At 42.3% G+C, this 17,006-nt stretch overlaps 1 protein-coding gene across 26 annotated transcripts in view; it reads right to left on the reverse strand.

Annotated features, from left to right (window-relative positions):
- Positions 1 to 17,006, reverse strand: part of FNBP4 (formin binding protein 4) — a 50,848-nt gene that overhangs the window by 9,845 nt on the left and 23,997 nt on the right. For 15 of the 26 annotated variants that reach the window (NM_015308.5, XM_047426655.1, XM_047426658.1 and 12 more), the window contains 4 exons: positions 10,278 to 10,402; positions 7,687 to 7,791; positions 6,199 to 6,332; positions 5,036 to 5,223 (listed from right to left, as the gene is read on the reverse strand). In NM_015308.5, the coding sequence (NP_056123.2) occupies positions 5,036 to 5,223; positions 6,199 to 6,332; positions 7,687 to 7,791; positions 10,278 to 10,402 (552 nt within the window). Of the gene's footprint in view, positions 1 to 1,321; positions 6,333 to 7,686; positions 7,792 to 10,277; positions 10,403 to 17,006 lie in introns of those variants that run through there. The other 11 variants (NM_001441112.1, NM_001441110.1, NM_001441111.1 and 8 more) reach the window with 6 other exon arrangements.

Here is a 17,006-nt window from a genome sequence, read left to right on the forward strand (position 1 = left end):
ATCTTCCTACCTCAGCTTCCCGAATTGCTAGGACTACAGGTGTGCATCACCACACCTGCTAATTTTTAATTTTTTTTTTTTTTTTTTTTTTAAAGAGACAGTCTCACTATGTTGCCCAAGCTGGTCACGAATAGAGTAGTTTTACTTTTTATGGAACAGACAGACAATACATTGTATAAAAGACTTTAACAACATCATTCCCACTGTCTCCTTATTTTAAGACAGCTGCTTACTGCCACTTTTGGAAAAGGACATTGAAAAAAATTCACCAGGAACATAAATGCAGTTTTCTGGCTAAATGACCTCAAATGACTCATTAAACTTTTATATTTGGCCATATTTAATATTAATTTATGCATTAACTTTTAGACAAAATCAAGTATGGCCAAGTAGTCTACATTATACAATAGTACACAAGGACTACATCAGAACTAAGTCAATAAACGTTGAGGACTAACTTAATTATTAAGGATTAAACTCCCTTCTATTAAACTAATCACAACATACAGTAAGTAAATATAAGTTAAGATTTTCTCTATTTTCTTTCTTTTTTTTAAAAGGCTAGTCAAGTGAAGCAGCAGGACTGGAGAAGAAACAAAGTCTGTAACTGGTTGTGATTAATTAGTTGTAAACACCACTGCACTCGGACCAGCCAGATTTTCAAATATTGGTGGATGTCTCCTCTAGAAGCATAATGCAATACCAACATGTTTATGATGGTGGTGACATGCTATTATGCAGAGGAACTCAAGTAAACACAGAGTCGGTTCAAGGTTAATAATGTGGTTTATGACCTCCAACAAAGCTAATTAGAATTAACTAAACTCTGTAAATATGAGATTAAACTAGACTTGATAAAATTAGCCACAAATGACGAGCATTTTTAGAATATGTGAATCCAATACTTTTCTTCTTTTTTTTTTTTTTTTGTGACGGAGTCTCACTCTCTTGTCCACGCCGGAGTGCAGTGACGCAATCTTGGCTCACCGCAACCTCTGCCTGCCAGGTTCAAGCGATTCTCCTGCCTCAGCCTCGCGAGTAGCTGGGATTACAGGCCCACACCACCACATCCAGCTAATTTTTGTATTTTTAGTAAGAGAGGGGTTTTCGCCATGTTGGCCAGGCTGGTCTCAAACTCCTGACCTCAAGTGATCTGTGTGCCTTGGCCTCCCAAAGTGCTGGGATTACAGATGTGAGCACCTGGCCTCTGCTTTTGTACTTCATAAGCACTTCAAATTCTCACATACAATGTGTCTCCCTCAAACTTTGTTATGAGGTCAGCACATTACCCATCTCACATGAAAATAAATAATAAAAATACTCCAATCTCCAACTAAGTTTATTCAAATTATAAAAGCTGTGTCATAGAAATGACAATTATCTCCTTTATCTTACGAAGACCATCAGAAAATTCTAGTTTGAATACACATGGATGTCGTATTACAATGATGCTTCTCCTTGCTTTTAAATTTAACTTAGTTAGTATTTTTGCTGTTTAAGAGAATATTTAAGTCTGAAGCCCAAGGACAGATTAAAGTGGTATATACAGCTCTTTTTTTAGATGGACTCTTGCTCTTGTTGCCCAGGTTGGAGTGCAATGGTGTGATATTGGCCCACCACAACCTCCGCCTCCTGGGTTCAATGATTCTCCTGCCTCAGCCTCCCGAGTAGCTAGGATTACAGGCATGCGACCACGCCTGGCTAATTTTGTATTTTTAGTAGAGGCGGGGTTTCTACATATTGGGTAAGCTGCTCTTGAACTCCCGACCTCAGGTGATCCTCCTGCCTCAGCCTCCCAAAGTGCTGGGATTACAAGCATGAGCCACCACACTTGGCCTACGCAGCTTTTATTACGTGCTCAAAGATTTAAAAGCTACAAGCTTAAAACTGAATATGTTATGAGAATACAAATTCTTAATTTTTTTTTAAGACGGAGTCTTTAAGCCTGTTGCCCAGGCTGGAGTGCAGAGGTGTCATCTTGGTTCACTGTAATCTCTGCCTCCTGGGTTCAAGCGATTCTCCTGCCTCAGCCTCCCGAGTAGCTGGGATTACAGGCACCCGCCACGACACCTGGCTAATTTTTGTATTTTTAGTAGAGACAGGGTGATACCATGTTGGCTGGTCTCAAACTCCTGACCTCAAGTGATCTGCGCGCCTTGGCCTCCCAAAGTGCTGGGATTACAGCCGTGAGCTGTAATTTTTCCTTTTTCTTTTTGAGACAGGATCTCACTTTGTTGTTCAAGCTAGAGTGCAATGGTGTGAATATAGCTCACTGCAGCTTCAACCTACCAGGCTCAAGTGATCCTTCCCACCTCAGCCTTCCAAGTAGCTAGGACCACATACTCGTGCTACCAAGCTAGGCTAATATTCTGCAAAGATGGGGTCTTGCCATATTGCCCAGGCTGGTTTTGAATTCCTGAGCTCAAGTGATCCTCTTGCCTCAAACTCCCAAAGTGCTGGAATTACAGGCATGAGTCACTGCACCTAAGAACCTTGCTTCTGTAGGCGTCTTTTTTTTTTTTTTTTTTTTTAGATAAAGAGTTTTGCTCTGTCGCCCAGGCTGGAGTGCAATGGCATGATCTTGGTTCACTGCAACCTTCGCCTCCCAGGTTCAAGTGATTCTCGTGCCTCAGCCTCCGAGTAGCTGGGATTACAGGCAGCTGCCACCACGCCCAGCTAATTTTTGTACTTTTAGTAGAGGCAGGGTTTCACCATGTTGCCCAGGCTGGTCTTGAACTCTTGACCTCAGGTGATCCACCCGCCTCAGCCCCCCAAAGTATTGGGATTACAGGCATGAGCCACTGCACCCGGCCTAGGCATCTTTATTTCTATGTATAGAAAGCCTTCCTTAATTTTCCCCCCAAAGAGAAATTATTGTTTAGTATTTTGAATGAAGAGCTCAGTTTAGCAATTTAAATCAAGAAATTATACAAATTGTTCCATGGAGATTAAAAAGAAAAAGGAGCTCAACTTCACCTAAGTGACATAAGCCCAATATAAAAGATATGTTGGATATCTTGAACCCAACTCATCTTTAGAATCCACTCCATCTTTAAAAACATAATGTTAAATTCAAACACTGAAACAACAAATAATGATTAAAAATGACTTAGAAAAATAAATAGAACTTTGAAACTTCTTGGCTTCTCACAGTGTAATTTTGCACCCCTTCCCCCACTTTATTTTTGAGACAGGGTCTTGTTCTCTGTCGCTCAGGCTGGAGTGCAGTGGTACAATTATGGCTTACTGCAGCCTCAAAATCTTGGGCTCAACCAATCTTCCCACCTCAACCTCCCAAACAGCTCGGACTACAGGCGTGGGCCACTAACTATGCCTGGCTAACTTTTTAAAACAATTTTCTGAAGAGACAGGGCATTGCTGTGTTTTGTTTTTTCTCTTCTTTAAAAGATAGCTGGTTTTAACCACCACTGAGCTGATTAAGAGCTCTCTTTATTAGGCTTAGAACTGTTGATTATTGCTCTTAAATCTCACAGAACTTAGTTTAAGATTTGGATTTTACTTCGATCAAGTTTATCCTGCAATTCTAGGGGTTCTCAATAAAGAGAGGCTTAAGAATATAACCTGTTTTATCAGTGGCTTTTTCCTACACTACAACTAGTTCTGTTTTAATTAAATAGGAATGGCTCAAGAGCCTCCTTTTACCAGACAGTATCAACTATGTGTGTCATAAAGGGAGAAAACAGCTTAATACTCATCTAAAGTGTTCACAGAACATTCAGAATTGGTAACAGTGGAATTTTCAACTTTGGAACATATAAGGGATGTTGACAGTGGTCAGGAGTGGAGCCACCTATCCAGAACTACGATCAAGCCTCTTCAGTTCATTAACTGCTAAAAAGCAAACAAAAAGAACCAATATATTATTAGTCATGTCTATCACTGCTACCAAAAGAGAGGAAAAATATTCAAAAGAAAATCTCTTCATGTAAAAGGGAAGTGAAATGCCCTGTAACTTGAGAAAATGCACTTCTAAAATGTGAAGTAGAATAAAATCAGCCTTTTGCTATGTTCTGAAATTATCACTGCAGTTGTATGTGACCTGCTGACGATTTCTAGGCTATTTAAGAAGTTAACAAAATCATCTGGTACACAACCAGTTTCATTTGGTACATTACTAGTGCTTTTCTACTATCATCAGGGAGCCAGTAGAGTACAAGCATCAATTTCGATAAGTTTTAGACAAAAGAATTCAGCTCTTAACTCTGTTATTGACAAATTTCACTTTTTAAAATTTTCAAAGATCTATTACTTTAGAAACGACTCATAGACTCTTGCCTTCATATGCCATCAGTTTAACAAATAGCTACCAATTCTTAAGATTAACAGGTGGAAGTTTCTTTACACATTGGAAACTTTTTAAAAACTAAAGGAACTGAGGAGCATGAAAGCCTATCTTTTAAAAAATGTATGTAACTAAACTAAATTCTTCCAAGAGTACCTTAAAAATGGAATGAGACATCCTATTGCCAATTGTTTTAGACCAGAAGATTGCTGGTGATTTTTCATGATCAATTATTTTGCTTCTCTGAAACAAGTACTAATGGCATTTCTTCATATCATTTTGATTTGTACCAACCACGCTTTTTGTAAGATTAGTGGAGGTGAGAAATGAGGTTGCAATATGAACAGACTAAGTGTTGTATAGAAATGTATAACAAATCTCAGCATGCCACATATATTGACAGTTCAACTATCTAGTTCCTCAGCACAAGCATTCCTATTTTTGGAGACCCACAGCTTAGTCAGTGGCATGATAGAATGGTTATAAAACAATTTTTTAAAATCAAAATCTGTTAGCCTATCTTTTCACTTTGGGGCACAGTTTTACACGTGATAACAATAGTATGCTGATTTCCAACCATAATAACTCATGCATTCCTTGTTTTAGTTCACACCACTATTCTCAATCAGAAGCTTATATTATTATGACATAAAATCTTTTAATAATGTAAATTAATAAGATTTTTCCTCTAAAGTCATTTTGGCTGAATTAGTACAAGGTAAATTGTCTCACCTGTGGAAGTTTCAGAGGATTCTGTTGAATTTGAATCAGTGCCAGTTTTGTCTTTCAAGGTCTGTTTGGCAAGAGTCTCATCTCTATTTTCTTGTGCTTGGCTTTCTTCTTCTTCCTCTTCACCATCTGGAAACTCCCACTGAGACTCGCCCGACTGTTCGTTTACATAGAAATACCGTCTATGATCCCTAAATTACAAGAAAGAAAACACATGTTTTAAAACCCGTTCTCCTACAAAGACACTTCCATTTGGTCCTGTCCCAGGACAGCAGTCTGCTTTCACAGGGACGAACCTCTTAATGGACTGCTATTCACAAAGGCAACAAAGAGCTTTGACAATTGAGAATGGAGAACCAAGGATAATTCAAAGCTATTTGCACTGCCAGCAACTCTGTGAATACAGCCCTGAACCCTCTCACTCCAACAGATGAGACTTAGAAAACACTTTTCTCTTTTTTTGTGATTTGCCAATGCATAACAGGGTTTCAAGTTTCATTAATGAAGGGACTCAATCGCCTAGAACACTAATTTCCCTTCCAAAGAAGAGAACAACGAAGTTTGTGAAAGGTGACTCTTCCCCTCTTGGACCGTGGAATTCACATTTCATATTCTTGATATCAAACACAGTGAAAGCTAAAGAGAGGGAGAGGATCTGGGAGCTGAAAAATAAAAGAGCAAAGATTTCAAATAACGAAAAAAAAATCAAGAAAAGCCAAATATATAAAGAAATGTTTTCATCTGACCTGCTGGCAGAGGATAGTAATCTTGTTCTTCATTCACATCTTCAGCCACGAAGTTTTCCTTAACTTCACCGAGGTTAATCAGGAGTAGTTGCTTCCAGAGGTCCTGTAAAGCGCACAGAGCTCTCGCATGCGCTTAACCCCCAAGCCCGCCCTACTCCGTGCAACACTCTGGAGAGTAAAAACCAGCTTTGTCCATATCTTGGGAAAAAATCCGTTACATGGAACACTTTAAACATTGCTTTTGTTTCTCCAATGTGTGGCTGGCCAAACTTTGTGCTTGCGGTGCTTTGCCTGCCCAGCACCGCTAACTGCAGCTGCTCTCAGTCTCCAGACAGGCTGTCATGTCGTCAGATGGTGGTGATCACAAATCATGTCTGAGATGTCAAAGGTGAAAGGTGAAAAGGGGAGAAGAGTGCGTACCTGTCCCAGTGGCAGGACCAGCCTTTAGGAGTGGCGTTTATTTCATACTGTTTTAGTTGTTCTGCTGCATCCTGAAGTTTTCGTTTAAGGTAGTTTCCATTAAGAGCCCCTTCCCGCCAGTCTGCAATTCGAGTCTAGAATAAACAGACAAATAAGTTAAAGACTTATTATTACATGTCAGGAGACACAGGCAAAGGGGATATAAACCTTCTGCTCCAAGACTATATCCCTGTGCTCTGGCAGGACAGTAGACCAGAGAGGAAAATAAACCCCATCTTCATCTCATAAAATAATCTTAAGGCCGGGCATGGTGGCTCACGCCTGTAATCCCAGCACTTTGGGAGGCTGAGGCGGGTGGATCACCTGAGGTCAGGAGTTCAAGACCAGCCTGGCCAACAAGGTGAGACCCTGTCTGTACTAAAAATACAAAAATTAGCTGGGCTTGGTGGCAGGCGCCTGTAATCCCAGCTACTCGAGAGGCTGAGGCAGGAGAATCAACTGAACCCGGGAGGCGGAGGTTGTGGTGAGCCGAGATCATGCCATTGCACTCCAGCCTGGGCGACAAGAGTGAAACTCCGTCTCAAAAAACATCCCAAGTACGCAGCAGAGTTCTGAAAAATGAAATTGGGCTCCAGTATATTTTAACACTACCAACTCTCCAATATGTGTGAAAATGAGTAGTAGTAGTTTTGTCTTCCCTTTTGGACTTATTAAGATTGGTTTCCCCAGTAGTTTTACTTTTTTTGGGAGATAGTTCACTTATTCCAGTACTGTTAGTAATCACAGTTAAGGATTCAGTTCTTTTTTTTTTTTAGAGACGGACTCGGACTCTGGCTCTGTTGCCCAGGCTAGAGTACAGTGGAGCAATCTCTGCTCGCAACCTTCACCTCCTGGGTTCAAGCGATTCTCCTGCCTCAGCTTCCCGAGTAGCTGGGATTACAGGCATGTGCCACCACGCCCGGCTAATTTTGTATTTTTAGTAGAGATGGAGTTTCACCATGTTGGTCAGGCTGGTCTCGAACTCCTGACCTTGGTGATCTACCTGCCCCGGCCTCCCAAAGTGCTGGGATTACAGGTGTGAGCCACCGTGCCTGGCCAAGGGTTCAGTTCTTAAGAAAATCAGTCAGCTTCCTACAGGAGCTCCTTACCTAATCCTGCCCTGCCATTTTGTAAAGTATGCAGGTTACAAATAGGACTCAACTTTTCTCTTTAAACAGACTTATAATGCTTTAACACTTACAAAGTACCTTCAACATTACATGGCCTCATCTGACCATGATAATATAATTTTAATTTGTGAGAAAAAAGTCTATTTACTGTGCTTTGGTTAACACAGTTTTATTTCCTGGATTGTCGGCTCAAATATTCTTCAAGGTTAAAAATTTAAATTTAGGCTTAAAATGTAAGCAAGACAGAATCGTTAACACATACAGCATTTCATTCAAACACTTAACTGTTTATGCCAAAAAAAAAAAAAAAAAGACTTACCTCAGTCTGTAAGAGCAGCACATGAAAGTTGGAGATGGATTGTCTATTAATGCCTAGAAACTCGAATTTACTTGTCAGGGTATTTGCCAGTTCTCCAATCTGAAACTACAATGCAAAAAAGAAAAAAAGTAAAACTAGAATCCGTAACATTTTCTGTATTATGTACAATCCTTCATTTATTCTTATAGATATTAGAAATATGGGTCTGCCTATAAACAGCCTTCCCCAAACAGCTGTATTTAGTTATCCAGAATATAAAATTCTAATTTATAGTAACATAATACACATAACAAAGTGACAAATAATGACAGGAATCAAATGCATATCTACATAATCACAATGCATTTTAAAAATTATTCAAAACAATTATTTTGTTTCAGACAAAGGTCTTGCTATTGCCCAGGATGCTCCTGAACTCCTGGTCTCAAGTCAGCCTCCTGCCTTAGTCTCCCAAAGTGCTGAGATTACAGATGTGAGCCACTGTGCCCAGCCCATCATAATGCATTCTAATACAACATGGAATTCAATAGTTGCAAATGGATCCCAATATTGAAAAGCTAAACTCAAAGAGTAGAATTAGAATGGTGGTTGCTAGGGGCTGGAGACAGGGGAATATGGGGAGATGTTGGTCAAAGAATACAAACTTTCAGTTATAAAATAAATTTTGGGGCTGGGTGTGGTGGCTCACACCTGTAATCCCAGCACTTTGGGAGGCTGAGGCAGGTGGATCACAAGGTCAATAGATAGAGACCATCCTCGCCAACATCGTGAAACCCCACCTCTACTAAAAATACAAAAATTAGGTGAGGATGGTGGTGCACACCTGTAGTCCCAGCTACTCGGGAGGCTGAGGCAGAAGAATTGCTTGAACCTGGGAGGTGGAGGTTGCAGTGAGCCAAGATTGTGCCACTGCAATCCAGCCTGGTGACAGAGCAAGACTCCATCACCCCAACACCCCCCCCCCCAAAAAAAAAGGAAATCTAAAGCACAGCATGGTGACTACAGTTAACAATACCTGAAATTTGTTAAGAGTATAGATCTGATGTATCATCCCCACATACAAACACAAGACAACTCTCCAAGGTAACGTGATATGTAAGTTACTTTACCTGGTTTGTGATAATCATATCATAATATATACATATAACAAATTATGACATAGTACATGCAAGATATATGTATAGTCAACTACAGCTCAACAAAGCTGGAAAAAATAGATCCTGAATGATATAAATACCAATATTGTCAAATTGCCATTTATCCATTAATTGCTTATATTAGCCACCTGCTGAAGCCTGAAACAAAATTAATTATTCCAGTCCCTTCTACTTGGTTGTTCCCTAACTAGTAACTGGATACTCTTTCAAGTCAAAAGAATATGTTAAGTGGTTTTTCCAACAGACCACCCTTAAATAGCTAATACTTATTTGGTCTAACTCTCCCATGAGATTAGGTTAGAAATGCAATTCAAACTAAATTTGCCTTTGTGTAAAGACAAGTATTTCACACAGGAATTAAATCTGTGACTTTTCTCCCAAACTAGAGAAGCCTATAAGCTACTGCTTCTCAAACAAGAGGCTTAATTTGAAGAAAGCAATTGAGCAGTTAGAATTTTAGATAATTTCTCAGTATCAAGTCAGCCTTAATTATTTCAGACTTAAATATGATCTTTTCACCTAACCAAGTAAACAATTTAGGTTTGGAAACAGTAAAGATTATTTTTACTACTTGTTAACAGAAAGCAGTTTAATAAATGGCATTAAAAAAAAATGGGGCCCGGTGCGGTGGCTCATGCCTGTAATCCCAGCACTTTGGGAGGCCGAGGCAGGTGTATCACGAGGTCAGGAGATCGAGACCATCCTGGTTAACACGGTGAAACCCCATCTCTACTAAAAATAAAAAAATTAGCCAGGCGTGGTGGCGGGCACCTGTAGTCCCAGCTACTCGGGAGGCTGAGGCAGGAGAATGGTGTGAACCCAGGAGGCGGAGCTTGCAGTGAGCCGAGATCATGCCACTGCACTCCAGCCTGGGAAACAGAGCGAGACTCCGACTCACAAAAAAAAAACACTTGCCAGGCGTAGTGGTGGGTGCCTGTAATCTCAGCTACTTGGGAGGCTGAGGCAGGAGAAGTGCTTGAACGTGGGAGGCAGAGGTTGCAGTGAGCCAAGATCGGGCCACGGCACTCCAGCCTGGATGGCAGAGCAACACTCTCTCTTGGGAAAAAAAAAGAAAAAAAAAAAAAATTTGGCGGGCCGGGCGCAGTGGCTGACGCCTGTAATCCCAGCACTTTGGGAGGCCAAGGTGGGGGAATCATGAACGCCAGGAGTTCGAGACCGGCCTGGCCAACATGGTGAAACCCCGTTTCTACTAAAAATACAAAAATTAGCTGGGAGTTGAGGTGCGTGCCTGTAATCCCAGCTACTGGGGAGGCTGAAGCAGGAGAATGGCTTGAACCCAGGAGGCAGGCAGAGGTTGCAGTGAGCTGAGATCGTGCCACTGCACTCCAGCCTGGGTGACAGAGCAAGACTCCGTCTCAAAATAATGATAATAATAATAAAAATTTGTCAAGTTGCATTAAGTAATATACATACTTTCAAATCCTGTTCTTCTTCTACTTTTGGTGTTGTCTGTACTTTTATTTTCTCTGGAGATTCTTCTACTTCCATCTCTTTATCTGAATTCTCATCTATTTTTTCTGAATTTTCAGCACCAATTGCTGTAAAAAAAACATGTAAAATTAAACCAAAGTACCAATACTTATAGAACACTATATACCTTTTCCCCCATAGCAGATATCTGCAAAAGATTATTAGTTCTTTCTCTCTTGCCTGTTTTACTTACTTGTTAAAACTCTTCAAACATGTCAGCCTACTGTCTATATAACCCAAAAACAATTCAGGGCCGGGCACAGTGGCTCATGCCTGTAATCCCACCACTTTGGCATTTGGAGGTGAAAAGATCACGAGGTCAGGAGATCGAGACCATCTTGGCTAACACAGTAGAACCGTCTCTACTAAAAATACAAAAAATTAGCCACGCATGGTGGCATGTGCCTGTAGTCCCAACTGAGGCAGGAGATATGCTTGAACCCGAGAGGCGGAGGTTGCAGTGAGCCGAGATTGCGCCACTGTACTCCAGCCTGGGTGACAGAGTGAGACTCCATCTCAAAAAATAAATAAATAAAATAAAAATCCTTTATAATCAACTTTCTTAAAATACATCTATAAGTAAAATTTACTTTAGCCTATCAAATTACCCTTAAGTTTCTGCTTTCCCCTTCTCCTTAACATCTTTTCTAATCTTCTCTTCCAGAATACCACTGCTTCAATTACTTATAATAGCTAGACAGCAAACCTGAGTATGTAAGAATTCTTTAACAAGTTGCAGGGGAAGGTGCTCAAAAGAGCAACATTATTAGCATTATTATTTTTTAGAGACAGGGTCTCATTCTGTCGCCCAGGCTGGAGTGCAGTGGCATGATCTCGGCTCACTGCAGCCTCAACCTCCTAGGCTCAACGGATCCTCCCACCTCAGCCTCCCAAGTAGCTGGGACTACAGGCAGGTGCCACCGTGTTCAGCTAGTTTTTGTATTTTTAGTAGAGATGGGGTTTCACCATGTTGCCCAGGCTGGTCTCAAACTCCTGGACTCACGCAATCTGCCTGCCTCAGCCTCCCAATGTGCTGGGATTATAGGTGTAAGCCACTGCACCCAGGCTGCATCATAATTTTTTTTTTTTCTGAGATGGAGTTTCGCTCTTGTTGCCCAGGCTGGAGTACAGTGGCGTGATCTTAGCTCATTGCAACCTTTACCTCCCAGGTTCAAGTGATTCTCCTACCTCAGCCTCCCAAGTAACTGGGATTACAGGCATGTGCCACCAAGCCTGGCTACTTTTGTATTTTTAGTAGAGATGGGGTTTCACCATGTTAATCAGGCTAGTCTCGAACTCCTGACTGGTGATCCGCCCGGCTAGGCCTCTCAAAGTGCTGGCATTACAGGCGTTAGCCACCACGCCCGGCATGCATCATTATTTTCAAACCATCTGGTAACTTCCTTCCTGAACTGGTGAAGACCTACAGACATCTATATTGAATCCACCTACTTAGTTGGTGCTATTGGTAATGGGAATCTCCAAAAGAGAAGAGGTCTACCAACTTAAAACGGAGCACACAATATGAACTCTTTTATCTTTGCTTTCCAACACCTGCATACTCAAACTAATTCACACAGTCTGAATGACTGCCAGTTAAAAAGCCAAAAATGGCCGGGCATGGTGCCTCACGCCTGTAATCCCAGCACTTTGGGAGGCCGAGGAAGGTGGATCACCTGAGGTCAGTTCAAGACCAGCCTGGCCAACACGGTGAAACCCTGCCTCTACTAAAAATACAAAAAATTAGCTGGGTGTGGTGCTGGGCGCCTGTAATCCCAGCTACTCAGGGGGCCGAGGCAGGAGAATCGCTTGAACCTGGGAGGTGGAGGTTGCAGTGAGCCGAGATTGCACCATTGCAGTCCAGTCTGGGCAACAAGAGCAAAACTCCGTCTAAAAAATCATCATAATTTTTTAAAAAGCCAAAAATACCTCAAATGTGAAAACCGTGACTTTGGGTAATCCTTCATCTTCAGGATTAAAAGTAAAAATGTAACTTTAAATAGCTTTTAATATTTTAAACTTTTTTTTTTGAGATGGAATCTTTGTCGCCCAGGCTGGAGAACAGTGGAGCTATCTCGGCTCATTGCAATCTCAACCTCCTGGGTTCAAGCAATTCTCCTGCCTCAGCCTTCCAAGTAGCTGGGGCTTCAGGTGTTTGCCACCATGCCCAGGTAATTTTTTTTTTTTTTTTTTTTTTTTTTTTTTTTTTTTTAGTAGAGACAGGGTTTTGCCATGTTGGCCTGGCTGGTTTCAAACTCCTGGCCTCAAGTGATTTGTCCACCTCAGCCTCCCAAACCGCTGGGATTACAGATGTGAGGCACGGCGCCTGGCTTTTTTTTTTTGAGGCACGGTCTTACTCTGTTGCCCAGGTGGGAGTATAGTGGTATGATCACAGCTTATTGCAGTCTTGACCTCCTCCAGCCTCATTTTTTGTTTTTTAGTAGAGACAAAGTCTCACTATGTTGCCCAGTTTGGTCTCGAACTCCTGAACTCAAGTAATCCCCATGCCTCAGCCTCCCAGAATGCTGGGATTAAAGCTGAGCTATTGCATCCGGCCTAAAACTTTTTATTAAGTCCTTAACCTTATAATATAATAGCCTGGCTCTCCTTTTACCTGATCGTTAATATTCCCTCTTTATTATCAAATTGTCTGAAACAAAATCTTCCCACTAATCCCATTTATTAATTTTTAATGCCATTATATATTAAAAGTCTTCTATCTGGTGGCAGGTCCAAGAATTTAACAATTTTAAGGATGGCTAGAGTTAAAGACTAGAATGTTTTGGAGGGCAAGTACACAGGCTCTATTAAATTAGAATGCACACACCCCTTTGACCTGGCAATATACCACTAGGAATCTTTACTGCTGTGAAACTAGAATGTACATAAAATATATTCATCAGGATGTTACCACAGTATTATTTATTGTGAAACAGGTTAACAAATGCATATAATATAAAGAATAAAATTAGCTCAGTGAGGTGGCACAAGCCTATAATTCCAGCACTTTGGGGGAGCGAGGCAGGAGCATCAATTGAGCCCATGAATTCAAAGCTGCATTATGATTATGTCAACTATATTCGGCCTGGATGACAGAGTAAAATCTGTCTCCTTTTTCTTTTGAGATGGGAGTTTTGCTCTTGTTGCCCAGCCTGGAGTGCAATGGTGCGATGTTGGCTCACCACAACCTCCATCTCCCAGGTTCAAGCGATTCTCCTGCCTCAGCCTCCCGAGTAGCTGGGATTACAGGCATGCGCCACCACGCCCGGCTAGTTTTATGTATTTTTGTTTGTTTGTTTGTTTGTTTAGTAGAGACAGGGTTTCTCCACGTTGGTCAGGCTGGTCTCGAACTCTCAATCTCGGGTGATCCGTCTGTCTCGGTCTCCCAAAGTGCTTGGATTATAGGCGTGAGCCAGGCCAACATCCTCTCTCTTAAAAGAAACAAAAATTCAAGTAAATTGGTCAGGCGCAGTGTCTCACGCCTGTAATCCAAGCACTTTGGGAGGCAGAGACGGGCGGATCACCTGAGGTCGGGAGTTCGAGATTAGCCTGGCCAACATGATAAAACCCTGTCTGTACTAAAAATACAAAAATTAGCTGCGCAAGGTGGCGTGCGCCTGTAATCCCAGCTACTCGGGAGGCTGAGATAGAACTGCTTGTACCCGGGAGGTGGAAGTTGCAGTGAGCCACGATCGTGACACTGCAGTCCAGCCTGGGTGACAGAGTGAGACCCCGTCTCAAAAAAAAAGTAAATATAACATGGCTTATTAAAATATCAAAATATTAACATGTTAATATTGAGTCTTCCCAGGTTTCTCTGCCATCACAGCCACACCAGATATGACCTCTACCCTCATGGTGCCAGTCATTATGTTCCTTTAGCTTCCTCATGGACAGATCTTTAAGCACAACATACATATGTATTTGTTTTTTTTTTCCCCGAGACAGTCTCACTCTGTCGCTTAGGCTGAAGTGCAGTGGCACAAACTCGGCTCACTCCAACTTCCGCCTCCTGGGTTCAGGTGATTTCCTGCCTCAGTCTCCCAAGTAGCTGGGATTACAGGCGAGCACCACCAGGTGCAGATAATTTTGTATTTTTAGTAGAGACGGGGTTTCACCATGTTGGCCAAGATGGTCTCGATCTCCTGACCTCGTGATCCACCTGCCACGGCCTCCCAAAGTGCTGGGATTACAGGCATGAGCCACTGCACCCAGCCACATTTTTTTTGTGTGTGTGATGGAGTCTCATTCTATTGCCCAGGCTGGAGTGCAGTGGTGCCATCTCAGCTCACCACAACCTCCACCTCCCCAGTTCAAGAGATTCTCCTACCTCAGTCTCCCAAGTAGCCGCCACGCCCAGCCTATTTTGCAGTTTTGGTAGAGACGGGGTCTCACCATGTTGGCCAGGCTGGTCTCGAACTCCTGACCTCAGGTGATCCACCCACCATGGCCTCCCAAAGTGCTGGGATTACAGGCGTGAGCCACCGTGCGCCAGTCTGTTTTTCTTTTTCTTTTGAGGCAGGGTCTTGCTCTGTCACTCAGGATGGACTGTAGTGGTGTAATCATAGCTCACTGCAGCCTCGAACTCCTGGGCTCAAGCTATCTTCCTCCCTCAACATCCTGAGTAGCTGGGATTATATCCGTGTGCCACCACACTGGCTAATTTTTAAAAAACATTTTAGAGACAGTGTCTTGCTATATTGTCCAGGCTGGTCTTGACTCCTGGCCTCAAATGATCTTTCCGCTTTGCCCTCCGAAAGTAAATATTATTGTTTCTATGATTAAGCCACATTGATGCACATAACTATGGTATGTTCACTTTGTCACTGCTGCTTAGTATTCCTTTCTAAGAATATACCACAGGGCTGGTCGCAGTGGCTCACGCCTGTAATCCCAGCACTTTGGGAGGCTGAGGCGGGTGGATCACAAGGTCAGGAGTTCAAGAACAGCCTGGCCAAGATGGTGAAACCCCATCTCTACTAAAAATACAAAAATTAGTCAGGCGCAGTGGCAGGCGCCTGTAATCCCAGCTACTCGGGCGGCTGAGGCCGGGGAATCGCTTGAACTCGGAGGGTGGAGGTTGCAGTGAGCTAAGATCATCCACTGCACTCCAGCCTGGGCGACAGAGTAAGACTCCGTCTCAAAAAAAAATAAAAAAATAAAGAATGCACCACAATTTATCTATGATACCTCTAATGGACATTTGAGTGCTCTATAGGGTTTTTTTTCATAGCACAAATGCAGCAATTTTTTTTAGTGAAACATGGACACAATTTAAATGTCCATCAACAGTGGGCAGAGTTAAATACGCACATCTACACCACTCAGTTTTAACCAATGAACAATAATTTTTAAGGCACGTTGTTAAGTGAAAACTGTATGTTGCCTAATAATCTATATGCTCTCATATATGGTAAAATTTACATATATACACATAAACACACTCATACATACCTAACTGTAAACGTATATAAAGAACATGGTCTGGAAGGATATATGTTTATAAAGGACAGAGAAAATAGCTGGGCACAGCTGGGATTACATGCCTGTACTCCCACTGCTTTGGGAGGCCAAGGTGGGCAGATCACCTAAGATCAGATGTTTGAGACCAGCCTGGCCAACATGGTGAAATCCCATTTCCACTAACAACACAAAAACTAGCTGGGCATGGTAGCAGGCGCCTGTAATCCCAGCTACTCAGGAGGCTGAGGCAGAGAATTGCTTGACCCCGGGAGGTGGAGGTTCCAGTGAGCAGAGATCGTACCACTGCACTCCAGGCTGGGGGACAGAGCAAGACTCCGTCTCAAAAAAAAAAAAAAAAAAAAAAAAAAAAGGACCACGGGGTAGGGAATGAGAATAATGAAAAGATAAAGAGGATTTACAGAATTTTCCTTTATGTTATTTCGAACTGCCAACTGAAAAGAAAAAATTCAGGCTAGGGGTGCTGGCTCATGCCTGTAATCCCAGCACCTTGCAAGGCTAAGGTGGGCAGGTCACCTGAGGTCAGGAGTTCGAGACCAGCCTTGCCAACATGGTGAAACCCCATCTCTACTGAAAAATACAAAAAATTAGCTGGGCGTGGTGACGGGCGCCTGTAATCCCAGCTACTCAGGAGGCTGAGGCAGCAGAATCACTTGAACCCAGGAGGCACAGGTTGCAGTGAGCCAAGACTGCACCATTGCACTCCAGCCTGGGCAACAAGAGTGAAACTCCGTCTCAAAAAATATAAATAAAAAGAAAAGAAAAAATTCAAACAAGGATGTCTTTCTTTATTTAACACCTGTATTGTTGTTTTTTTTTTGTTTGGTTCTTTGTTTCTTTTTTTTCTTTTATCAAGAAACAAGGGTCTTGCTATGTTGCCCAGCTAGCCTGGAACTCCTAGGGTCCAGGGATCCTTCTGCCTCAGTTTCCTGTGAAGCAGCACTGGGCTGTTTTTGAACCACGATCCATAAAAGTATTTTCTTCTAGGTGTACTCAACTAAGGTTTGGCGTCCTTATCTTACTGCTGACTTTCCACTACAGAATTAGGGCCACAGCTGAAAGCGGTGGCTCACGCCTGTAATCCCAGCACTTTGGGAGGCGGGCGGATCAACTGAGATCAGGAGTTCGAGATCAGCCTGGCCAACATGGCGAAACTCCGTCTCTACTAAAAATACAAAAAATAGCCAGGCG

Source organism: Homo sapiens, chromosome 11 (assembly GCF_000001405.40).
Source record: "Homo sapiens chromosome 11, GRCh38.p14 Primary Assembly".
Lineage (NCBI taxonomy): Eukaryota > Metazoa > Chordata > Mammalia > Primates > Hominidae > Homo > Homo sapiens.